The sequence below is a fragment of the Homo sapiens genome, chromosome 8 (assembly GCF_000001405.40).
Source record: "Homo sapiens chromosome 8, GRCh38.p14 Primary Assembly".
NCBI lineage: Eukaryota > Metazoa > Chordata > Mammalia > Primates > Hominidae > Homo > Homo sapiens.
In genome coordinates, this window is record NC_000008.11 from 41,708,218 (window position 1) to 41,733,497 (window position 25,280).

The 25,280-nt window shown below is 50.1% G+C and overlaps 1 protein-coding gene across 5 annotated transcripts in view, besides 6 other annotated features; it reads right to left on the bottom strand.

The window, feature by feature from the left end:
• ANK1 (ankyrin 1) overlaps positions 1-25,280 on the bottom strand; it is a 243,517-nt gene that overhangs the window by 54,993 nt on the left and 163,244 nt on the right. For all 5 annotated transcript variants that reach the window (NM_001142446.2, NM_020477.3, NM_020475.3 and 2 more), the window contains exons 4-17: positions 19,691-19,789; positions 19,033-19,131; positions 17,544-17,729; positions 16,239-16,337; positions 15,318-15,416; positions 14,908-15,006; positions 11,444-11,641; positions 9,889-9,987; positions 9,387-9,485; positions 8,736-8,834; positions 7,435-7,632; positions 6,759-6,857; positions 5,939-6,037; positions 561-758 (exon numbers count right to left, since the gene is read on the bottom strand). In NM_001142446.2, coding sequence (NP_001135918.1) covers positions 561-758; positions 5,939-6,037; positions 6,759-6,857; positions 7,435-7,632; positions 8,736-8,834; positions 9,387-9,485; positions 9,889-9,987; positions 11,444-11,641; positions 14,908-15,006; positions 15,318-15,416; positions 16,239-16,337; positions 17,544-17,729; positions 19,033-19,131; positions 19,691-19,789 — 1,770 coding nt within the window. The remainder of the gene's footprint in view (positions 1-560; positions 759-5,938; positions 6,038-6,758; positions 6,858-7,434; positions 7,633-8,735; positions 8,835-9,386; positions 9,486-9,888; positions 9,988-11,443; positions 11,642-14,907; positions 15,007-15,317; positions 15,417-16,238; positions 16,338-17,543; positions 17,730-19,032; positions 19,132-19,690; positions 19,790-25,280) is intronic.
• Positions 4,999-6,198: an enhancer, noted in NCBI's record as "BRD4-independent group 4 enhancer chr8:41570734-41571933 (GRCh37/hg19 assembly coordinates)". NCBI's record gives its function as "activates an origin of replication core promoter dependent on BRD2, P300/CBP, MED14 and CDK7 cofactors, and independent of BRD4, by STARR-seq in HCT116 cells {active_cell/tissue: HCT116}" and the evidence as "EXISTENCE:reporter gene assay evidence [ECO:0000049][PMID:35650434]".
• Positions 7,154-7,213: an enhancer, noted in NCBI's record as "active region_27294". NCBI's record gives its function as "activates an Ori minimal core promoter by ATAC-STARR-seq in GM12878 lymphoblastoid cells {active_cell/tissue: GM12878}" and the evidence as "EXISTENCE:reporter gene assay evidence [ECO:0000049][PMID:35858748]".
• Positions 8,703-9,555: an enhancer, noted in NCBI's record as "H3K27ac-H3K4me1 hESC enhancer chr8:41574438-41575290 (GRCh37/hg19 assembly coordinates)". NCBI's record gives its function as "activates a minimal SCP1, AML or CMV promoter by ChIP-STARR-seq in naive H9 embryonic stem cells {active_cell/tissue: H9 hESC(naive)}" and the evidence as "EXISTENCE:reporter gene assay evidence [ECO:0000049][PMID:30033119]".
• Positions 17,434-17,728: a silencer, noted in NCBI's record as "tiled region #1462; K562 Repressive non-DNase unmatched - State 17:Gen3'". NCBI's record gives its function as "represses a minimal TATA promoter and a strong SV40 promoter by Sharpr-MPRA in K562 cells {active_cell/tissue: K562}" and the evidence as "EXISTENCE:reporter gene assay evidence [ECO:0000049][PMID:27701403]".
• Positions 17,434-18,077: a biological region, named in NCBI's record as "Sharpr-MPRA regulatory region 1462".
• Positions 17,478-18,077: an enhancer, noted in NCBI's record as "H3K27ac-H3K4me1 hESC enhancer chr8:41583213-41583812 (GRCh37/hg19 assembly coordinates)". NCBI's record gives its function as "activates a minimal SCP1, AML or CMV promoter by ChIP-STARR-seq in primed H9 embryonic stem cells {active_cell/tissue: H9 hESC(primed)}" and the evidence as "EXISTENCE:reporter gene assay evidence [ECO:0000049][PMID:30033119]".

Genomic DNA, 25,280 nt, shown 5'->3' on the forward strand with positions numbered 1-25,280 from the left:
TTTTTTGGGTCACACATTCCTTTGAGAAGCTGAGAAACATTATGAATGCTTCACCCAGAAAACTGCTCACGCGCGCTTCCTCCCCAGATGTGTGCGCAATTTTAGAAGGCTTTATCCTCACACACCTATTGTTGCTGGAGTGAGAACTCCTAGTGTATAGGTCAGTGTTTTTAAAAATATCTTTCCCCCACGGAACATAGAATATTTAGTCCCAAATGACAGAATGCACTCCTGAAGGTAGGCACCGGCCTATATTTGGGAAAGTTTATTATGGATTTTAATATTGATCTTTCTGCAGATCCTTAGGTCAATCTGTTTAGAAAGATCGGCAAAGGCTTTGGCATCAGAAAGGCTCAGAATCCTGCCACCTTGGGAATAAGCAACCTTTCTGACTCTGTTTATTCATTTATAAAATGAAGGTGAAATGTACGCAGGGCTGTTCCAAGGATTACACACACACACCCCTAACTCAGAACCTGGGCACACATAGATGCTCAATATGAAGACACCACACGTTGTTATCCAGCACTCCAGGGCAGATCCGAAGACACCATGCCTACCTTGTTCCCCAGGTTGCCATTGGCTTGTTTCGAGAGCAGCAGAGCCACCATCTCTGCGTGGCCCTCCTGGGCGGCCAGGTGAAGGGGCGTCACACCTTGCACCGACTCGGCGTTTGCTGAGCCCCCATACTGCAGCAGACTACGGGCCACCTCCACCTGGTTCTGCTTGGCAGCGATGTGCAAAGGGGTGTAGCCATTCTGAAACAGAAGAAGCCGCCCAGAGCCTGGTTACAGGAATGCTGAGCTGACAATATCAACACACAAGCAGGGGCTGAGTCTGGTTCTTGGCCGGCTGGACACCCAGTGAGCAGGGCTGGCATCACCCAGGAGCAATTTAGGTAAACAAACAAACAAACAAAATCCATTTGATTTGGAGACAGCTCCTCAGGCTTGCATAGCCTCTATATGTCCATCTTTTTTCACCATCTGTTTTCTGTTATGCTTTGACAAACTGCTGGACAGGAAGAGAATAACAGGAAGGCTGGGTAAGGAAATGAAAGATTCTCATTTCTTGCTTCCTGCAATAAGAGCCAAAAACCCCAAATATTTCATAAAGAAAAAGAAACATCAGCCCCTTTTCTTTCCCAGTGCAACTGGGCCAAGTGCTGCCCTCTGGGCCTTGCCGGCATTAGGCAGGGTGGTTTAAGGGACATGCACCTGGCAAGGGACTTGAGGATGTGGGACAGTCCTCACTCCACTGTTAACTACCTGTGTGACCCAGGGCAAGATGTTCCATGACCTAGACTTCCTTCTGTATCTTTTAAGTCATGAAAAGTGGATAATAGCATCTATCTTGTTCATTTCTCGAAGTTGTTAGGTGGATCAAACGTGATACTATACGTGAAGGTATGTTCCAAAATTAAGATATAAAAAGTTGGCAGGGCACAGTGTTCATGCCTGTATTCCCAACACTTTGGGAGGCTGAGGTGTGAGGATCACTTGAGGCCAGGAGTTTGAGACCAGCCTGGGCAACATAGCTAGACCCTATCTCTACAAAAAAAGTGAAAAATTAACTGGGCATGGTGGTGCATGCTGTAGCTACTCAGGAAGCTGAGGTGGGAAGATGGCTTGAGCTAAGGAGTTGGAGGCTGCAGTGAGCTCTGATCGTACCACTGCACTATGGCCTGGAGCAGAGTAAGACCCTGTCTCTACACATAAAAATTTTAAAAAGTAATGCACCTGTGTGTCATGGTTTTGCAGTGCACTGGTTTGCAAGACATTATAATTGCACAATGAGATGAAGAAGCTTGCCTCAAAAGTAAATCAATGATGTCACTGTGCACTGTTTATTCAGCCAATTTTTGTTTTTATTATTATTATTGATAGCAAGACTGTCTCAGTGAAGGAAGCAGCGCATGGGTTTACATTCTGGAGCACACTCCTTATCTCCCTGCAGGCAAGAGACAGTTCCCAGGTGGGCACCTTTGCTCATCACTGCCGAAAACCACTTTCACCTGCATTTTTTTTGCGCTTCATTAAAACCACATAAGGTCACTAGGGCAGGCATTTTTATTATCCTATTGTGTGGAGAAAGAGGCCAATTCTCTGTAAGGTTAAGCACCTTATCTAATGTCACGTAGTAAGCAGAACAACAGATAACCCAACCTTGAACTTCTGATTGCACAGCCCAGGTAATTCCAGCTAGAACAGTGGTTCTCAAACTCTGATGTGTACACAAATCCCTTGGGACCTTGTTAAAATGCAGTGTCTGATTCAGAGGCGCTAGGGAGGGCCCGAGATTGTGCATTTCTAGCAAGCCCCCAGATGATGCTGACAATGCTAGTCCAGGGATCACACTTTCAGTAGCAAGGCCCTAGGGCACTCAGGGTTAAGGGCAATGCCAGGCTGGAGGACGTCCTGGACATGCGCCCACCCAGGCCCATAGCAGATGGCTGCCCAACGTGGGATCTGTCTCAGGGCACGAGATTTCCCCACCTCGGCCAGCATTCCTCTGGCTGAGGACTGAGTTCTCCCTGCCAGCCACTCTCTTACTGTGGAAACCAACATTTCTGATTCTGCCAGGATCACTGGTCAGGAAGAGGAAAGGGAAAGAAAGGGGCTGGCCAAGGCAGTCAAAGCCCTGGGTACAGGGAAAGCTCAGCAAGGTGGGCCCATAGGTGGCTTTTGTGGTGAAACGAAAAGTTGAGACTTACCCAAGGAATTGAATTAAATTGAAAAATCATTTTCTTTGAAGAATGACATGAGATAATCCTTTCTAGTATTCTTCCTTTTTAATTTGATTATGTTATGAGAAAACATTAAATTGTTCTTCGTAGGTTGTGTTCATGTAACAAGATCGGCATTTGGATTATAATAAGTTTAATTAAACAACATGATTTTTGCACTGTATTAAAAGAGAGCAAAGGAATGGGGTGCGATGCCGCAGATCCAGCCTGAGATGCAGGGTCGGCTCAAAACAGAGCTAAGCCTCCCCACGATTAGACACGGAGCACCAGTCAGCGCTGGCCCAGAGAAGATTTTCACTATGTAAATGAAAAATAAAACCCTAAGCCCCACACAGATCCCATCTAGGCCAAAGAGATCCCAGAAAAACCTTAAAAACTGAATTCCCAGCCACGAAGGAAGGGAGGTTGGACACGCCTTGCTATACCCACTCCCTTTCGGAGTTTAGGCGCAACTGACCGGCATTCATGTTAAAAGAGATCATAAGACTAACCAAAGGGACTCTTTGTGACAAGACACCAAATTATCAACAGGACCCAAGGCCACAGTAGGCAAGGGCTGAGTCACATGCCCCCTGGAGGTCACTCGGCCCAGGACCCTGGTGAACAGACCCTTCTCTCAACTTCATGCTTTTCTGCTGATTCCAAACTTTTAGATAAAGCTTTACTCCTTTAACCAATTGCAAATTAAAGAATCTCGGAATCTGCCTATAACCTCTGGGACTTTCTAGGTATTTTTGTCAATATATACCTTCCATGTATTGATTTACGTCTTTGCCTGTAACTCCTGCCTCTCTAAATATAAAAAACCAAACTGTAAGCCGCCTCAGACACACTTTCTCAGGACCTCTTGATGCTGTGTTGCCCAGGGCCATGGTTATCACGTTGGCTCAGAGTAAACCTCCAAAAGACTTTATGGAGTTTGGTTTTTCCATTAATAACTACATGAGAGCAATGATTATTAGGCCATCTTTTTTTTTTTTAGACAGAGTCTCGCTCTCTTGCCCAGGCTGGAGTGCAGTGGTGAGACCTTGGCTCGCCGCAATCTCTGCCTCCCGGGTTCAAGCGATTCTCCTGCCTCAGCCTCCCAAGTAGCTGGGATTACAGGTGCACGCTGCCATGCCCGGCTAATTTTTGTATTTTTAGTAGAGACGGGGTTTCACCATGTTGGCCAGGATGGTCTTGAACTCCTGACCTCAAGCAATCTGCCTGTCTCGGCCTCCCAAAGTGCTGGGATTACAGGCTTGAGCCACCGTGCCCGGCCCTATTAGGCCATCTTTTAATGTACAAGGGTCCATCACTTGAGCAATCTGCAGTGTGTTCATGGATGTATCCTCAGGAATCCCAGGCCACCTGGGAAGCAGCGATGTCCACACTGGCAAGGCCAGCCCCCTGTCCTGCCCAAGGGTAGGCCTGCCCTGGACATGGCTCAGGCTACCAGGTAAACCTCTGGTTAAAATTGAGATACAAGTGCCACTGTGACTCTCAGAACACGGACTGCCCCTCTGAGCTTCCCCTAAACCAGAACTAAAATGAACAAATGAACTTCTGCAGGTGACAAGGACAAGGACAACTAGGCTGGAAAGTCACGGAGAGGGGAGGGAGGAATGTGTGCCCGCAAAAGGCTCTTCTTTCCCAAGGAAATGAGCTCATCCTAAGGAATGCACACGGAGGGAGCTCTGCCCAAATGTTCAAACAACATTAGCATCAAAATTAGAAAGGGGAGGGTTTGGTTTGGGTGCAGAGAGATTTGCATGTGAAATTCTACAAAATTGCCAGACTACTTTGGAAACTATTTTTTGCCATGGAAACAAAGCCCATCTGTACAGGGTTTGTGCTTGGATTTAGTTATCTTTAAATATAATGAACCTGGCTCCCGTTCCTTTTATATAAGTAGGGGAGTGAGGAGGAGGGGAGTCCAGGTTTTTATTTTTAGAGGCAGGAGTAAGTCGACATCGCAGCGGGGCCGTGTGCTCCCTCTGCACAGCGACGTGGGACTCACTGCAGCAGGGACAGGAGGAGACAGCTGTCGGGAGCCGGCGTCTGTAGAAGAGCGATGCTGCAAGATGGGGACACGTGTCTGTCCAGGGAGGGAGAACGCGCCGAAGCCCTGCACTGGCACTGACGCTCCCTGCCTGGGCTGCGGAGGCCCTAAGCCAGCAGGTGTTGGCTGGAGTCACATGGGGTCCCACCCCGAGGCTCCTTCTCTGCAGCACTTGGATGCCTGCCACATGACGGATCTCCCATAAATTATCCTGTTTCCCGTGCGCCTGGCTGCCCCATAGAGTGCGGGTACTGCGTGTGGCTTTTGTCTTCCTGGCCCCGCTCCCTCTCCTCTCCCCTTCTCCCCGCTGGCCACCAGTCCCGCGGTGCCTATCCCTACACAGCCTCGCCTTCCCACAGCAGGCAGCCTGTTCCCAAAAATGGTCCTTCCAGCTTTATCCTTGTACTACCCAACCCCGTGGGGTCTTCCAGAAGCAACCCATCTGCTCCCTCCTCTGATTCCCTCAAGGGTCACGGAACCTGCTGCTCTGAGCAGCTCGCCTCCGAAGCTGGTGTGAGGCTGGGCCAATGTGTCTCACATTCAGGTGAGCCTCCCTACAAAAATGCCACTATCTAAAAGTCTGATCTCAGAGACAAATGAATTTGGAGATGATCATTCTCATTTTAAAGAGGTCTCTTGTTTCCAGGTTCCAGCAAGCTCGCCAGCAGCCCTGAGGATTTCTCAAAGTACGGTCGCTGTGGCCCCAGCCTTGGAACCATGCAGAGAGTAGGTTAAAAATGAGGCTTCCAGGCCACACTGCACAGTCCCACGGAGTCAGAATCTAGCAATGCTAGAAACGGGCTCACCACTCCCCAGGGATTTTTATCCACACTGACCTCTGACAGTCAGTTTACAAAACCCAGCTGACGTGCAACTGCTTGGGGACACATTTGTTGTATAAAACAAGTTCCGCCTCTGCGAGGTAACCCCTGGCTGGGAATTGTTACCCACTTCCCATCCCACTCCTGGGCCCTGAATAGCGTGATTACAGGGCAGGTAACATGTGGGAAAGTGAGGCGTGATTTCTGAGGTAAAAATAGCAACAGAACGCAAAACCCTTGGGCTGCTGTGGAAACCCCCCTCCCTGAGGGACTGGAAGGTAGCAGGTGACCTGCTCTCCAGGGGCAGCTGGGGAGAGGGGCGGGCCTTACCCAGGCAGGGCTGTGCGGGGAGCCGCCCCGGGGAAGCAGCAGCTTGACGATGTCCAGGTTGTTGTGATGGACGGCCACGTGCAGGGGGGTCAGGCCATTCTGCAGGGGACAAAGACAAAAGAGGCCGGCTGTCACTCCCACGGACTTTCTCCCAGGACTCCCTTTAGGCATGGGAGCACCTATTTTATACAGTAAAATCCTGTTTAAAATCTTTCCCAGGCCAGTCTTAACTTGGAGTCATGACAGAATGTCATCGGCAGGACCCAGAGCCCTGTGGGAACAGGGGGGAACGTGGGCAGTGAGATCAATACACTTGCCCGGAGAAGGCCATCGGGTCTTTCCAAAAGGATAAGGCCTTTGACAGAAAGGCCAGTCTTTCCAAAGGCCATTCTCTCTCGATGGCTACCCATGGAAATATAAACAGGCCGGGTGCAGTGGCTCACACCTGTAATCCCAGAGCTATGGGAGGCTGAAGAGGGAAGATCACCTGAGCCCAGAGTTCGAGACCAGCCTGGGCAACATAGTGAGACCCTGTCTCTATAATTGTTTTTTTAAGTTAGCCGGGCACGGTGGCAACTGCTTGTAGTCCCAGCTACTCAGGAGACTGACACTCGAGGATGGCTTGAGCCCAGGAGTCAAAATTGTAGTGAGTTGTGATGGCACCACTGCACTCCAGCCTGGGCAACAGAGCGAGACCCTGTCTCAAAGAAAAAAAAGATGAACAACACAGGCAAGAGATGGAATCTGCAAGTGCTGATGTCCATCCTCTGTCCTTGCCTCTAACCTGAGAGCTGCAGGGGAGGGCAGGGTTCAAACTCACTTTTCCGGCAGCATTCGGGTGTGCGTCCCGCTCCAGCAGCAGCTCTGCCACCCGCACCTTCCCGTACTTGGCCGCCACGTGCAGAGGGGTAAATCCTTTCTGAGGAGAAACAGGCTGTCAGGACCTTGGGGCCCCAGGGCTGTCCTCCCTGGAGAAAGGGCCCACAGCAAAGGAGGCTGCACCTCCGCTGGCATGGAGAGGCCAATGAAAGCAAAGGCACAGCCATTTTTGAGCCCTCTGGGAGGCCGAAGACCTCAGGACTTGGCAGGCATCCCTGCACTTACGGTCCACACTCCTCTGGCAAGAGGGTCTCAACCACCTCACAGTGGTAGTTGATTGCTGGCTAGCTGAGGGCAGGGTATGAGTCTTAATCCTTTTCATATCCCCAGAACCTGTTTGTGACTTGCCCAAAGCAGGTTTCGACTAATAATTGTGCCATGATAAATGTATGAAGGCTGGCTGGGTGTGTGAGAAGCTGTGGTTGACTTCCTGTTTTGGGGAAGGATGGAGACACATCGGCTTGCAGGTGGTGGCCAGCCCTGAGTGTGACGACCCTTCCAGCTGCTTGCAGCATCATTGAGGTGACAAAGAGAACCAGGCAGGAATTCCCCTCCGAGCTCCAGGCCTGGCTGAGTGAGCCTGTTGCTTCCTTAGACCACGAGGCGGGAGGCTGTACCTTGGTCATGCAGGCCTGGGATGCTTCCTTTTCCAGAAGGGCCAGGACTGTTTCCACATGGCCCTCACGGGCTGCAATGTGCAGGGGGGTGTGCCCGGCGGTGGTGGCCAGGTTGGGGTTGGCGTTATTTTCCAGCAGGAGCTTCACCATGTTTGTGTGGCCGATGCGAGCTGCACAGTGAAGTGGGGTCTGGTCATCCTGGACCCCGAAGGGAAAACAAAGAAGAAGAAACGCTAATGTTACCAAATCCAACTTTTCATCTTACAGAGAAGCAAGGCAGGGCCCAGAGAGGGCAAGTGACCTTCTCAAGGTCACACAGCTAAGAAGATGAAGAGTCAGGATTCGAATCAAGTCTCTGAGTTACAGGAACCAATATGCTGTATCCTACTGAATCCTTACAACAGTTCTTCAAGTGAGCTGTTATTTCTACCTTATTTCCCAAAGGCCCAGCCCTCCCATCTGTAAAATGGGAATAATAACGTCTACTTGCTAGGGCTCAGCTGGGATCAAGCTGATAATGTACATGGTTTCTGCGTTTGGTGCATAAAAGGCACTCAATGCAGTGTGGCTGCTCATCCGTCTCCCACATCCTTTCTGAGTGGATGCGCTTGTCTTTCTGCTTGAACTCTAGTTTGATTTTCTCTGTGCTGGGGTCAGGGGAGTCTCAACTGCTGACAGAGAATGAGGACTTTTCCACCCACACCCCCCCACTTCCTGTTTCTGAATGCTGCTGTCGGGCTGCCTGGGCCAGGTCTCATGGGGCCCAGCTGGAGGCTTCCCTCGAGGGCCCCAAACACAAATCACAGGCCTGACTCTAAGGAGAACCCATCGTGGCCTGTGGTTAGGAAGCCTGCTGTTGGCCGAGTGAGCAACTGGCAAACTCCACAGCTCTTCTCACTGTCTACTCCTCCAACCCCCGCAAAATGTGTTTACAGCAAGGGGGAACTCTCCAGTTTTAGATCAAGTAATTCTTGCCTGATTTTTGCTGGCAATGCTTTCTTTAAAACGTTGCCCCCCTCCTTACATGGCAACTGTCATCGTTAGCCCAGGACATACTCAGGCCAGCCACGCACCTTGGACTTTCCTTATTTTAAAGAAATGTGGCTCTCATGCAGAAATACCCCTGGTCTTCTCAAACCCCCTGCAAAGCAGAATCTGGGCGCTCAGAGTGACCTGATCAGGATGAAAAGTGATCCCCAGGCCACAGCACTGCAGCCCCGCCTGGAATGAGGATGGGTTCTCTGCACAGTGCTGGAACTGCTCACATCTGAAACCCTTCCCTTCCTGCCTTCACTACTCACCTTGGCCTTGGCATTGACTTTGGCTTTGTTCTGGAGTAAATATTTGGCCACTTCCGTGTGCCCGGCTCTGGCTGCCATGTGTAGCGGGGTCTCCACTTTCTATAAAATAACAAAATTATAGAACTGTTCATACATGCCTGCTGTCCAAAACGGCACACACAGAGCTAGGAAGTGCAGTCTGGAGTGGCTTGGTGGGTTTTTGTCCAAGAGGTGGAGTTGCCCCAGCAGGCAGCTCTTTAGCCTGGTATGTGTGCATGTGTGCATGAGCATGTATGTGTGTATGTGTGTGTGTGCACATACGTGCAGGTGCATGCGTGTATATGAGTTTATGTGTGTGTCTGTGTATTCTAGGTACACTTAAAAGTAAACCCCAGAGCTAATGAATATTCAAAAATGTAAATGTATTCCCAGTGAACACTTACAGACGTTCCAAAATTATTGTCCAAAACAAAGCCTCCAAGGTTTACGGATGTGTGAGAAATTTAATCCAGAAAGCGTCAGTACACAGGGATGTCCTCCCCCAGTCTGAAGCATTGGCTGTTCTGGGAATCGTAGCTCTGTCCCCAGAGAGTAGGACTGGGAGCACTGGTGAAAGCTGCCCTCTGAGCTCTTGGTCTAGGGGAGCAAGCCCCTGCCTGCCTGAGGGCTTACCACGTTGGAGACGTTGGGCGACGCCCCCCGCTGCAGGAGGTTCTTCACGATGGGAAGGTGCCCCATGAAGGAGGCCACGTGGAGAGGTGTCAGGCCAGACTGAAACAGACAAAGGCAGAGTCCGATAAGTGGGAGTCTTTCCGCTCCCCTGAAGAAGAGAGAACCTGACAGTATCTAACGCTTTCACAAATGATTTTCCAAGAAAAGGGAGCTATATGAGGTGGGTTTGCTTCCAAGAAAATGGTTGGAGAAAAAAATTACTGTGGGCAAGTCGTGCCCACTCTTACAACTTGCAAAAATTGTGTCTGATCTTGGAAGGCTCCATGAGACTTGACTCATGTTCCCTTGTCTTAGTCACCCCTGATTCATTCCTTCCAGCAGTCCAGACTTGCAGACACACACACCCCTGCAGCCATACAAAGCTACAAAGAGCGACTCTTGGAGAAGGTGGGTCGGGGGAGACCACAGGCCTGCCCCCAGGCTCCTCTGCAGTCTCTCCTACCTCGGTGACCGCGTCGATCGAGGCTCCCGTCTTCAGCAGCAGCTCCATGACACGGACGTGGTTCTTTTTGCAGGCGATGTGTAAGGGGGTAAAGCCATTCTGCAGCCCACACAAAGGGAGACAGACAAGCAGGAGCTTACACACGGGCCCAAGGAACGCCCAGAAGACCACCTGGCTGCTCTAAAAGGCAGCTGCTGCCCAGGCCACCAGCAGATGCCCATAGACCAATCAACGAATTAATGCCAATTGATTAGTCTTATAATGTCAATTAATGCAAATCATGTAAGAGACAGGTGGCTCTCACTTGATGCACTAGATATGTTCCTGAACATGTTGTTTATAAACCTTTTTTAAAAATTTATTCATATTTTGGATGCACTAAAAGATCCTGCCATTTAAAGCCCCCTAAGGGTAAATTTACAATAAAAGAGTACTTTTGTGAAGCAAATCATGTTCCCTCTTCCCTGAAACCACTGATCATTTTTAGTGAAATGGATTTCTGCTTTAAAGTGTGATATACTCTGAATGTAAACTCTGAAGGGCAGAAATGTGTATTTGTTTTTGTCTGTTTTTTTCAGTGGTTTATCCACTTAAGGCAGTGGTTCTCAAACACGGGAGGTGGTGGTGGGGGGGTATCGTTTGCACCTCACCCCCAAAACATGTGGCAATGTCTGGGGACATTTTTTATTGTCAGCTAGGGAAGGAGAGCTATGAGTGCTTAGTGGGTAGAGGCCAGGGACGCTGCTAAACATCCTACAACACACAAGACCACAAATATCGACCCCAAATGTCAACAGTCCTGAGGCTGGGAAATCCCAACTCCCCTATAACAGTACGTGGCCTGTGGGCACTGCTCAGTGAAAGCTTTTTTGAGCGAGTGAGTGAATGAGTGAATGAATGAGCCATCCTCTGCCATCCCTGGAGGATATCCTGCCCCTCAGTTCTGCTGCCTTGGGAAGAGGCAGAGAGGAGATGTGGTTACAGGCATGCTTAGTGCAAAGCTACAGCCCTGCTGGATCCCCAGACTCCCTGGGAGCCCCTGTCCTGGGAAGGAGGCAGAGGAACCACAGGAGGGATTTGCTCTGGGCCTGAGCTTCCCTTTACACGAGTGCCATGAGAACTACAAGCCCCTCTGTGGACGAAGGATGCTCAGCTCTGGCCATCTCATTCATCCCCAAAGCAGCTCAGAAAGCCACGCAGCCTCTAAGGAATCACTCAGCTCCAGGCCTGGCTCCACTGGAGAGATGCCCCAAGCCCGCATACCTACCATGCAGGATGCTTCCTGAGTCCGGTCTCCTGGGCCCAAACTCATCCCTGACCTCGGCCTGGTCACCGGGGCAGGGGTCGATACCCAGGTGGGTGTGCAGTGGAGGGTGCAGGAGGGGTGCACACCAGGCCCCCACCATCCAGTGCTGTCACACCCCACTGCTCAGGCCTCGAATCTGGGGAGCTCCGGGCACCTGCCGCCCTTCCCACAGGCCCAGCCATGCCTCTCTGCTCCTGCCCCCAGCCTGCCCTGCCACTCTGCACCTTCTCCAGCAGCACCCCCACTCACCAGGGCTCTGGAGTTGGGTTTGGCCCCTTTATCCAGAAGGACCTTAGCCACCCTGTGGTGTCCACAGTGGGCAGCCACGTGGAGTGGGGTCAGGTGGTCCAGGGTGATGTCGTCTATCTCTGCGTCGTATTGCAACAGGAGCCGGACACAGTCGAGGTGGTCTCCCTGAGCCGCCATGTGAATTGGGGACAGGCCGTTCTGGGTAAAGAGGAAAACACAAGCAATCACAAAGTCTTCTGGGGACCGAGCATGGAGATTCAGGACGATTCCAACGTCACTCCCTACTTCTTCCCTACACAATGTTTCCACAAGTCTCTGGAGGGAGCTTGGCTCACCCTGGCCTCCACGCTCCTGCCGGTCTCTGACCACAGACATTCTCCTTTCCACCTGGCCAAACCTTCAAAGCCATGTCCAGCAGACCCACCTCTTCCAGAAAGCCTTCCCTGACCACTCTAGACTCCTGTGGGCTTTCCTTATCTGCACCATGCGCTCAGACCTTATTCTCATATTTGCCCAATTATATCCATAGCTAACTTTTTAGGGGAGTGTATCTCTTCTCTTTATTTATACGCCTCTTAAGATCAGTGACTTAGCCTAATATTTCTCCTTAAATGCCCCACAGTGCCAAATACATGCATGTAACACACATCATGGTCCCTAAATTATGTGATTTTGAATGAATGAATGAATGAATGAATTATGATAAAATAGAACTTGGATCTAAATCCCTCTGTTCCTTGTCCCTATCAAATGCAGTTCAGTTAAAGAAAATTCTGTTAAGGATACTCATTTCTCAAACAGCAATTTGTTTAAAAAACATAAAAGAGAGAGGAGACTCATTCATTCACTTAGACATTAATTCAACACATATCTATCAAGTGATTAATGTGCACCTGGTATGGGTTAAGCTCTGGGGAAACAGAAGAGAACAGACATAACCCCTGACCCAAGGAAGCTTGTAGACAGACATGGTGTTGTCTTTCAGCGCCCTGAAGTGGGATGATCAAAGCACAGAGTTGTGCACAAACAGATGGCGTCCCTGATGAAGGAGGGGCACTGGGAGGGAGGAGGTGAGGCCTGAGCTAGGACTTGAAAGGAGCTGAATGGAAGTTCACCAGGAGGACCAAAGGGGAAGAACATCCTAGGGAGCAGCAAGTGCAACATCACAGAGGCAGCTACCCTAGGGGAACCCAGGGGCCTCCATGCAGTTCGACAGTCCGGGGTGAGGTGATTCCAAGCATGGAGTCAGGCTGGAGAGGAGGCTGGAGCTGCGCCAAGAAAGGCTAGGAGCTCAGGACCTGGGACTTCAGCTTTTAGAAAGTGGAAATGAGAGGATTTTCATCAAGGAAGATGCAAATCAGGTTCCATGACAGCAGATGTTAGTGTTACAGGCTGAATTAGGTCCCACAAAATTCACATGCTGCAGTCTTAACCCCCAGGACCTCAGAATGTGACCTTGTTTGGAAACAGGATCTTCGGGGATATAATAAGCTAAAATGAGGTCATTAGTGTGAGTTCTAATCTATGACTGGCGTCCTTAGAAACAGGGAGATTTGGGCACCTGCACAGCAGGAAAATGTCACATGAAGATGAAGGCAGAGGTCAGCATGATGCCCTATAAGCCAAGGAAACCAAAGATTGTGCCCAAACCACCAGAAGCTCGGGGAGAGACCTGGAAAAGATGTTCCCTCACAGCCTCAGAAGGAATCAACCCTGCCAGGCACTGTAGCTCACCCCTGTAATTCCCGCACTTTGGGAAGCAAAGGTGGGCAGATCACTTGAGGCCAGGAGTTCGAGACCAGCCTGGCTAACATGGTGAATCCCCATCTCTACTAAAAATACAAAAATAGGCCAGGCGTGGTGGCATTTGCCTGCAATCCCAGCTACTCGGGAAGCTGAGGCACGAGAATCGATTGAACCTGTGAGGCGGAGGTTGCAGTGAGTAGAGATCACACTGCTGCACTCCAGCCTGGGTGACTGAGTGAGACTTCATCTCAAAAAAAAAAAAAAAAAAAAAAAAAAAAAGAACCAACCCTGCTGACACCTTGATCTTGACCCTCCAGCTTCTGGAAGTGTGAGACAGTAAGTTTCTGTTGTTTAAGCCACTCAGCATGTGGTTCTTTGTTAAGGTGGACTGAGCTAACTCAGTTAGTTACACTTGCATTTCAGAAAGGTTGTACGATAGTTCCCAATTGAAAAGTCACATATTCTCAGTAAGGAATTTTCATAAGCATTCTTTTCAGCCCCATTCTAATGATCTGGATAATAAAACAAAAAATCTTAACTTCTGGCCATGTATTATGTTTAAATACAGCACTCCTGGAAAAATGTTGGGAATTTTCTAATAATTTAACTGATAGTAGCAATTCTACTTTCATTTAGCTGAGGAGTTTTACTTTTAGATAGCTTTTGAAGACATTATCTCACATGGTCATCCCAATAATCCTAGGAGAGAGGGTGGGGGCTCTCCAGATGAGGAAACTGAAACACAGAGAGGGCAAGACACACGTTCATAGTCACACGGCAAATCAGCCAAGGATGGAGGGCTAAATGAGAAACTGCTTTAGTAGAGGACACCCTCATGCAACAGCACACACAGACACACCCAAGAACCAGTGTGGGGACTATGAATCATGACCCAAATTAACGACAGCTCTACAGAACAGAACATGATAATGTGTCGGGAATAAATCAGCTTTCACTGTATGGTCTAAGCCATCATTTTATGACAGAACTGCTCGTGGGAAACCTCCTGGGTAGCTGTGAGTGGGCCTGGCTTTTGCCTTGCTCTGCTCTGACACAGCTCAATTCACGGGGCAGAGGGCCCAGAGCAGGCACAGGCAGCAGTGTGGCTGACAGCTTTCACCCCTTGAAGACTCGAGTCCTTATGTCAGAGCCACGTAACGGGCCTTTTCTCTGGCCCGTAATGGAACCTGAGAAGAACTGTGTTCTTTTCTTTTTAACTTCGCTTCAGTCTGGCCCAGGCTCTGAAGACTTCTCAGAGTACTTAGTGCCTGTCTTTTCTGGAGCTAGGAAGAGAGACATAGGGATTGATCTAGAGCAGTAGTAGGCGAACTACACAACCTGTGAGTCAAATCTGCCCTGCCACCAGTGTTTGTCAATAACGTTTTATTGGAACACGGGCCCTAGTTTGCATATTGCCTGTGGCTGCTTTTCTGCTACGTTGGCAGTGTTGAATCATTGCAACAGGGACCACGGCCTGCAAAGCCTAAAATTGTCTCATACCTGGTCCTTTAGATAAAAAGTTTGCCGACCCTGATCTAGTTAGGCATTAGAGCTACACTGAGAGTCTCCTACGTGATAGGCCTTGTAATAAATGTCAAAGGTGCTATCTCATCTAGTAGTATTAGCATCTCTGTTTTACAGAAATAGGATTTGATGCCAGGTCTGTTGGACCTGGAGCCCTGTCTAGAAAATGCGCCTGACAGGAAGGAAGTACACACCTTGGTTTTGGCTTGGATTGGTGCCCCGTGGTCCAGCAGGATCTCTGAGATTCGCACGTGCCCATTTCGAGCTGCACAGTGGAGAGGTGTCAATTCGTCCTTTAAAAGACAGAGTCAAAAACAGAAAGCCCAAAAGGCAGCTATCAGAGGCCATTTGGAGAGAAGACTGCCTATGGCATCATCCCAGCCCACGCAAGTGCTGACGTTTCCTCAAGCACCAGCTCGACCTCAGCACAGTTTTACTATTGCCTCCCACTGCACGCGGCACTGCCCAGAATACTGCTGCAGGCGGCTCCGGGAGGCTGGTGGTGCATCCCTAACTAGGTCACCAAGGGCCCGCTGCTCTGGGTGAGGCTTGTGAGGGGGGACCTCCCTCCCCCTGCCTGGCTACAGCACCTGCTGGCACCCACCTTGGTCTTGGTTTCTATCTGGGCTCCCCGATCCAGCAGCAGCCGCACCATGATCACGTTGCCCCTGCGGGAGGCGATGTGCAGTGGCGTGATGCCGTTCTGAAGGGAGGAAGCAGGACGGTCAGGGCGCGTCATCCTTCCCTGGAATGCAGCTGCTGTGCACCCGCTCCCCTTGTCCCCAGCCCCCAGTCCCCAGGCCTGCAACAGCGTTGTCAGGGCATTTCTGGCCTAAGATATTTTATTTTTTTTTATTTTTTATTTTTTTTTTTTTTTGAGACGGAGTCTCGCTCTGTCGCCCAGGCTGGAGTGCAGTGGCGCGATCTCGACTCACTGCAAGCTCCGCCTCCCGGGTTCACGCCATTCTCCTGCCTCAGCCTCCTGTGTAGCTGGGACTACAGGCACGCGCCACCATGCCCGGCTAATTTTTGTATTTTTAGTAGAGACGGGGTTTCACCGTGTTAGCCAGGATGGTCTCGATCTCCTGACCTCGTGATCCGCCCGTCTCGGCCTCCCAAAGTGCTGGGATTACAGGCGTGAGCCACCGCGCCCGGCCTAAGACATTTTAAAACCTGAAAGGACCTGCCAACAGGATGGGTCATCCCACCACACCACCCAAGCCCATGCCTCCCAGAGTCAACATAACAGACTGCAGGAAAGTCAGTTATATGGAAATCACTCTCTGCCCTCCAGGTTTCCCATTTTTAGGATGGGCAAATGGAGTTTAGGGTTTTCTCAAGACAAAGCAGGTGGAAACTGGGGGGTAGATGATCAGAAACCTGCCAGCAAGGAGCCCGACCAGACAGCAGGGCTGTTTAACCCACAGGCACTTCTGCCACTGGGATGAAACCCATGGTGCCGAGGCAGGAGCAACTGCCAGCCCCAAGCCCCCGGACAGTGAGGGCGCACGTGCCCCAGGGTTACCTGTGGTGTGAAATTGACGCTGGCTCCTCTGTTGAGGAGCAACTGGGCCACGTTGAGGTTCTCGTAGTGAGCCGCAATGTGCAGGGGCGTGAATCCCGTCTGGGGCACAACAGAGGGGGAGAAACTTGTTATATGTGATTTACTTCTATCTCAGAATCAGCCCTGGGATGCAGGAAACTCAGGTGGGGCAACAGGACTTTACAGACAAAGGAGATTTTGATGGGTGGGAACATTTGGTGAGGGGGTCAAGAGAGGCTTTATGGCACAGTGTATTCAAAAGCTGGGGGTCTGCCCTGAGCAACCCGAATTATATGTTAACCTCAGACTCTGTGGGCCCGTTCGTCAGAGTGATCACCGACAAAGAGATTTTCATTCATGAATGAAAGTGTAATGGGGCTATGGTCTTTTTTTCCTCCCATTTAGACAGGGTCTCACTGTGTTGCCCAGGCTGGAGTGCAGTGTGATGTGATCACAGCTCACTTCAGCCTCGACCTCCTGGGCTCAAGCAATCTTCCCACCGCAGCCTCCCCAGTAGCTGGGACTACAGGCGAACACCATCATGCCCAGCTAATTTTAAAAAAAATGTTTTAGAGGCAGGGTCTCACTATGTTGTCCAGGCTGGTCTCCAATTCCTGGGCTCAAACCATCCTCCTGCCTCAACCTCCGTCCATTGTCATCATTCTGTTCCAGAGCCTGAAGGCAGGCCTAACCCCACCCAGGTGTTTTCCAGACAAAACCCGGTGGATCTGGGGCCGGTGGAAGAGGGGAGGGGCGGGGTGCAGGAGGGGACTTTGAATAACTCCAGTAAATCCATTTCCACTAAAAGAAAACCAGCAGCCTCAGCCTACAGACAGCAGATCAGCAGTGCCTCCGAACACCGGAGAGCGTGCCCAGGTGCACGCAGGCGTGCAAGGTCCCGGACCCCCTTTCTCCACACCCCAGCCCCTGCACGCCTCCTCCCTCCACTACGGGGCAGCCGGGGAGGAGAGATGAAGGAACATCAGGAAGGCCGCCTCCTGGGGTTCCAGGGTGACCCGCCCTGCCCGCCTGGACACATTTCCAGATGACCTGGAGCAACAGGAACCACCCCCGCTGCTCACCAAGAGCACGTTTCTGGGCATCTGCCAGGGATTTAGAGCGGGGCTGTCCAGGGGCCCCTCTGCGTCCTGGGGTGAGGGCGCTCAGTGCGCACTGCCCGCCCTGCACGCTCGGTTCTCCTGCCTGGGAAGTCGCTGGGCGTGCGCGGTGCCCCCTGAGCCCACGGGCGTCCGCGGCCCAAGGCTCCTCCCTCCTCCTCGCCCTCACCTTGGAAAGCACGTCCGGGTTGGGGTCGTTCTGCAGCAGCACCGCAGCCGTGCGCGTGTCGTCGTTGCGGGCCGCGATGTGCAGGGCCGGGAGGCGCACCTTCCCCTTGGTGCCGTAGTTGATGAGGTGCGCGACGACGTTCTCATGGCCCTGCTGCAGGGCTACCGCCAGAGGCGTGAAGCCGTCCTGGCCAGAGGAGGAAAATGCTTTGCTCTGACTCGTCTGACGCCAGCCGCCCTTCACACGGGACACACCCTTGCCCCTCGGGCTTATGCTCCCAGCAGCCCCAGCCTGAGGGACCTACCTCCACCAAAGCCCTCTTCATCCGCCAAGTTTAGCCTAAATGCCATCTCCTCCCTGAAGCCCTTCCTGCCTCCACTTCCTTTCTCTGCAATCTCACAGAGCCTGCCGAATTTTTCTTTAGCATTAATTTAGTTTTCCTTTATAATTTGCTTCCAGTTTGACTTGTTTTAAGAAACTTTTGACTGCTCAGATTCTTTGCCGGCTCTCTTTCTCACCCCATCTGCTGGTACCAGGATAGTGCCTTGACAAGGCAGAACATTACTAACACCGACCAAAGGCCAGAGTCCACACCAGGCCCTGATAATTCAATTGTGAGCTATTATTATTATTATTATTTTATTTTTGAGACAGGGTCTCACTCTGTCACTCAGGTTGGAGTATGGTGGTGCAATCATGGCTCACTGCAGCCTTAACCTCTTGGGCTCAAGTGATCCTCCCACTTCAGCTTCCCAAGTAGCTAAGAATAAGGCACACACCACCACACCCAGCTAATTTTCTTTTTCTGTAGAGACGGGGTCTTGCTGTGTTGCCCAGGCTGGTCTTGAATTCCTGGCCTCAAGTGATCCTCCCACCTCAGCCTCCCAAAGCGGTTGGATTATAGGCATGAGCCACTGCGCTTGGCCATGAGCTACTATTATTAATTCCCTCAGTTGTGGACATACTAAAGGGCACAGGACCGCAGGAACTGATAAAACGGAATGACAACAAAGTCATGTCATTGAGCCATCCAAAGTTAAGAGTCAAGAGACTCCTTGGCTCTATCTAGTCCAATTTCATCATTTCACCAATGACAAGACTCAGGACCATAGCTAATGAGACTTGTCCAAGGGTGCATGGTGGTTTTGTGGCAAGAGCCTTTCTCATTAAGGCCCAATGCAAACTTGCCAACCATACACATGCATGCTTCGCCTGCCCCCTCCAGTCACAAGTATTGGCCACAGCGGGAAGGACACCCTCAAGTGTGACGTCGTTTCTTTGGTACGTGTCTGGGCCTTCTTCAAGACCCATGACTTTGTCATTAGTCCCTTGCAGAACCTGACAGCACTCTGGATTAGTGCAGCGACCTGAAGGTCATCCATCATGACATGGATGCACCCCAAGCCACATCCCAGGTAGGTGTCACCTGAAGCAAGGTTGTACACCTGGGAGACTTCTGGTGGTGACGACATTTTTCCAAGGTACTTACTTCTGTGGCTACATTCTGGTTAGCTCCATTTTCCAGTAAAAACTTAACCACTTCCAAGTGGTTCTCTTGTGCTGCCATGTACAGGGGTGTAAAACCTTTCTGTAAACCAAGAGAGGACATCATTAGCATCCACCCGCAATTTAAGAAAGGCCTACACCAGCACAACGTCCTCTCACCTGGAGGACAGCGCTCTCTTCATTCCATTTCCTCCCACCTGACCCCTCCTAAGGAAACTCATTGTCATGGTGACTGGCGTCCTGGGATTATTACAAAAGGCCACAGAGGCTGTGCCTCCCCTCGCCACCGTAGGTCAGTCTCTTCAGCTCACATACTCCTCATTGATTTCATCAATGCTGCACTGCACACCTCATTCCCCCAGTCCTCAGTTTCTCTCTCCACCTAGGCTACAACTGGACATACTATTTGGCTTAGGTCCAAAACAATTCAACCCCGTCATGCTTAGGACACGCGGTCTATGCATGCGAAATAATAAAGGACACCTTCACCACTGCTCAGAGACATGCTCCTGAGAAATCTAGGCCCTGCCCCACAGTAGTGTGTGTGTTAACACGGCTGCCAATGGACCCACGAGGGAGCAGCAAAGAGGAACCACCTGTGGAAAGGCAACACCCTCTAGTCCAGACCAGAGAGCCATTACCTGTGACTGGGCGTTGACGTTGGCTCCATAGTTGACAAGCTCCCGGACCACCTCATCCTGCCCGGCTAGAGCAGCGATGTGCAGGGCCGTGTTCCCCTTCTGAAACACATGGGGGAAGGGAACAGAGGCGGTTTCCCACTGGGCCCGCTACGGGACCAGCAAAGGTCTGTGGACAGGTGCTGCTTGAGGGACCCGGGGGCTTTCTTCATGGCCAAAAGGGGTAGAAAGGACACACGTGTGTGCTTGACCCATTGCACATCCTGAAATCATACTGAAAGTACAGGGAGGAAGATCCAGCCTGTTCTCTATGACAAACAATGCTGCAAGAGCCATAAAAAAGAAGGAAATCAGGTCTTCCGTAGCAACTCAGCTGGAACTGGAGGCCAGTAACTTACATGAAGCAACTCAGAAGCAGAAAGTCAAATACTGCATGTTCTCACTCGTAAGTATGAGCTACATAATGTGCACACGTGGACATACAGAGAGTGGAGAGACACTGAAGACTCAGAGGGTGGGAGGTGGGGGCAATGAGAAATTATCCTTTGGATGGGATGCCCACTCTTCGGGTGATGGCCACACTAACAGCCCAGGCTTCACCACTACACAATGTATCCATGGAACAAAGCTGCACTCATACCCCCTCAATCTATAAAAAGAAAAACATTTAAAAAGAAGACCACCAGCACTGGCTGGTGTGATTGGAGTGGCGCAGGAAGGGGGCAGGTGACACTGAGATGTGCGGTTGAAGGAGAGTGCGGCCATGTCAAAGGAACTCCTTTTTTTCTATTATGTATCCATAATAATTAAAAATAAAAAATTTTTATAAAAGAAAAATAATACTGAAAGAAAAAAACACCCCCCGCCAACACACAACTTCTGAACATCTAATCTGCTGTGTGCGTGCAGCGTCCTGTCCCCAGCAGACAGCGCGTTGGCGTCCCTCAGGACACACACTGGAAGGCTTGTCAGCGAGCTGGCCTTCCGCGGACCTGCAGCTCCGCTCAGCCTGCAATTCTGCAAGGCAACAAGCCCTCTGAGAGGCCTGGGAGCGCCAGGAAAGGAGGCCAGCAGGTCCCTCAGGCCCATACCTTTGACGCCATCCCAGGGATACCCACAGACCACAAGCTGCAGTGGAGCGGACAAAGAGATGGGAGGCAGGAGAGTGAGGAAAGCATTATACAGAAAAGGAAAGGGTAAGATCAACTCTATGATGTATGTAGGGAAGAGAAGAAAAATCAGAAAATAAATGGGGGGTAATAAATGGAATACAATCTGGCCAAGAAAAATACAAAGAATATGCAACATACTAGTAAGCAAAATGTAATGAGTAAGGGTTCACCAAATCCAAGAGGAGAGAAAAACTGGAGAGAATAAACACTGGAGGAAAACCAGGCACGTAATTGTTTTAAACTTTGTAAAAGATAAGAACCAATAGCAGAGACTGAGAAATAAGGCAGGTTCTGAGAAAGTGAGTTTTTGTTTTGTTTTATTTTGTTTTTAGAATTGGAGGTCTCGCTCTAACACCCAGGCAGGAGCACAGTGGCACCATCATAACTCACTGCAGCCTCCAACTCCTGGGCTCAAGCGATCCTCCCACCTCAGCCTCCCAAGTAGGTGGGGACTAAGGCGTGTGCCACCGTGCCCAGCCAATTTTTAAATTTTTTTGTAGAGATGGGCTCTCACTTTGTTGTCCAGGCTGGTCTCCTGTCTTAGCCTCTCAGCACTCTGGTATTACAGGCATGGGCCTGAGAACATGAGTTTAACATTCTCCGGTTTTCTTGTCTGGATTCTTTTTTGATATTAAACAACAATTCACAGACAGGACCAGCAGCCTCCATCTGTTCCCGGGATACCCACAGCCTTCCAGCCAGGCTCCTGCCAGCCCCTGGGGGTCCTGGACCACAATGTCAGCACTGCCTCTGGGGGTGGACTCCCCTGGGTGCCCTGCACCTGAGCCCCCATTCAGGGAGTTGAGGGGCAGGGGCGGGCAGCCTCCACTCCATGCTTCTGTCAAATAGGGCGAGTGGAGAAAATAGGTCCATGGTCGGACCCATCTGTCCCTGCACTACTTAAGGAGCAGAGATCTCAAACAACCTCATTTTTAGAGTTTAGACAGTATGTAGTTCTTTTTACTAAACTACATAATCATTAACTAATCCATTTCAAGAAACTTAAGAACTGACAAGCAGGGACTTTGGACTCTGACCTTGCCCAGTGGCTCCTGTCACCTGGAGGAAAAGCTTCCTCACTGAGATGGAAGGGAGCAGCCTGGGGCCTAGCCGTGTGGCCCCCCAGCCGCTGCTGACCCCGCTTCCCCGGGTCAGGGAGGCAGCCCCATGAGGCCGCCCTGGGGGCTGGGAAGCAGCTCAGTTCTGTTTCTTGTACTCTGCCTGGTAATTCAAGCATAAAGCCTGGGGCTGGGTGCAGCAGCTCACATTGGTAATCCTGGCACTTTGGGAGGCCAAGGCGGGAGGATTGCTTGAGTCCAGGAGTTCAAGACCAGCCTGGGAAACAGTGAGACCCAGTCTGTCTGTCTTTTCTTTCTTTTTTTTTTTTTTTTAAAGGCATAAAGCCTGTTTATGTTTTGTTTTGTTTAAAGGCAGGCACTTCCCATCTGTTGCCTCCTGAAGTTGTCTTTTTGATTTCTCCTCAAGTTCTATTTGATGAAGAAAAAGGTTTTTCCTCAGGTATCCATTGGAGAATAAATGCCAGATATGAAAGTCTGGAAGCTCATTAATAATTTTTCATAGAAGTCCAAAGAGCCTCCATTGAGAGGCTTGGCACCTGCTGTACCAAATGGAGCAGCACTGCTGGCACCAGAAACTTTTCTAGACACCAGGACGCTGAGCTCCAAGTGGCATCTTCTGGGCTCCCATGGAAAAGAAGGAGGCATCCTGGGTGCATTCATTCACTGGCCACATGCTTCCTGGGCATAAGCACAGAAGGCCTGGGCCAGCATGGAGGCACAGAGGCCATGGAGACATCAAGAGGCTCACGTCAAAGGTTTCTTTCCAACTGACCCTTCCTGCCTGAAGTCCAATGATATGAGAGCTTTCCTTACCCCACGAGGAGGGGAAGGTCACCCTGTTTTGGGGAGCTCATCAGTGATGGAAACCTGGCTATGGATCTTGGTTCGGGCCAGCTGAGCCAACGGTAGCATAAGTGAGGAATAAGAACACAGGGAAAATTCTGGAAGTGGACCTCCTTTCCCCTATCTACACACACACATTATGAGGCTCAAGAAGGCCCCTGGCCTAAGTTGTGGGAGTCACAGGAAAAGGGATTTGTGAGCCTCTATTTTCTCTGCCCCTCCCTCACCATGAAAGAACATGGCCTCAAAGGAGCAGGAAAAATTACTTAGCTATATTTTGCTCCACAAACACCCAATTTCTCTATTTTCAGGGGCTCACAGAGCTCAGAGCAGGGAGGATGGTTGCATGGGTGCTGATTGAATGCAAGTGGAAGGGGGAGAGGGACCCCAAGTGAGAGAGCAGGCTTTTTTCCAGTGGAGATGAAAGCTGTCCCCATTCATTAACAGCTTAGGTGCTGAGCTCCAGTCTCTAAGAGCTGGAGATAGGAGGATGGGGAGAGAATGCGTTTGTTTTGTGCTTTTAAAATTTCTAAGTACATTTTAGGAATCTAAATTGGTTTTGGCTTTTTACTCTTTTTCTTCTTTTTTTTTTTTCATCTTTCTGCTGCCTGGGAGCCCCATCACAGTCCCCAATCTGTTGTGACTCTTCCCCAGCCCACGGTTTCAGTTCCACCTTTTTTTCCCCCTCTCTCTGGATGGTATTCCAAAGCCACGTTGGCTTAGAAAATTTCTAAAAATAAAAAAGACACACCAAGTGTTCACTTGCAAAATCACAACCTGGGGAGGAGATTCGGAAACAGTCGAAGCGCTGAAGCCTCGTGTTTCCGCAGCCCTTGAAGGCACGCCAGGGCAGGCGCCGCTCCGGCACACGCGGGGCAGGTCAGATGGCACACAGCTCACAGCCAGGTACGTGGGAGTGTGCAGAGAAAATAATCTCACCCTTCATCCACACGAAAAGCAGGGTGGGAACAATTGGAATTTGACATAGAATTTGGGAAAAAAATACCCCGTATCCAGTCAGAAAGAGCAACTCAGTTTATTTTACCCATAAGTGCAATAAGATCTTTTCACATTCAGGAAATGACATGAAAATTACAGAATTTTACCTCAAGAGATGATTCTACCTTCATAATATTTTGGTAGTTCACTTCATAACCATAAATTATATCTGTTCTCTACATATTGTTCTTCTATGTTCTCTGCTTGAGAGGCGGCAAACTGTTTGCTGCATGGAACTGAAATTGAGGTTGTGTGTGAGACCACGTGTAATATATACCAAAAGGAAAATAAGAGGCTAGGGGGAAAGAACTCCAGAAGAAAAACATGGGAAAGGAACAGAGGAGGGAAGAGAAGAGAAAACAGTAACTGGGGAGACAGTACTTGAGTTAGCAAATGGAGATGATTTTTTGTTTCATTTTATTTATTTATTTTTGAGAGGGAGTCTGTCTCTGTCACCCAGGCTGGAGTGCAATGGCGCGATCTCGGCTCACCGCAACCTCCGCCTCCTGGGTTCAAGCGATTCTCCTGCCTCAGCTTCCCGAGTAGCTGGGATTACAGGCCTGTGCCACCACGACTGGCTGATTTTTGTATGTTTAGTAAAGATGGGGTTTCGCCATGTTGGCTGGGCTGGTTTCGAACTCCTAACCGCAGATGATCTCCCCTCCTCGGCCTCCCAAAGTGCTGGGATTAGAGGTATGAGCCACCACGTCCAGCCTTGTTTCGTTTTATTTATTTATTTATTTATTTTTGAGATGGAGTTTCACTCTGTCACCCAGGCTAGAGTGCAGTGGTGCAGTCATGGCTCACTGCAACCTCCACCTCCGCTTGAGGCAGGGTTCAAGCGATTCCCCTGCCTCAGTCTCCTGAGTAGCTGGGATTACAGGCGCCCGCCACCACGCCCGGCTAATTTTTGTATTTTTAGTAGAGACGGGGTTTCACCATGTTGGCCAAGCTGGTCTCAAACTCCTGACCTCAAGTGATCCTCCCGCCTCAGCCTCCCAAAGTGCTGGGATTACAGGCGTGAGCCACCGCGCCCAGTCTGTTTCATTTTATTTTTAATTGCTGGCTGCATCTTGTTTGATAAATAAGATGCATGTCAGGTAAAAAATGAAACTTATTTTGCAATCTATAGATGTATCAATTTCATGACTCTGGGATTTTGAAGTTGAGTCACTGGTATTTATAATCTACTGAAATGGAGTGAAATACGTTACTGTGGATGCCTGGCGTCGCCCCATGCCAAACGCCTCCTCATGAAACAGAATGCTGTTCCAGATCGTTAGCGAGGAGAGGAAATCAGTTTGGGGCTGAACAAGGAAGACTTGCTGGAGAAGGAGAAATGAAAGAAATCTGGATTCTTCTCTACAACCTTCAGTAACAACATGGTCACTAGTATTTATTGATTCCTTACTACAGGAATCAGTAATCAATTAATATATCCAATAATCAATAAATGCATCCAATAAGTAGTAAATGCATCCATCCAATAAATACATCCAG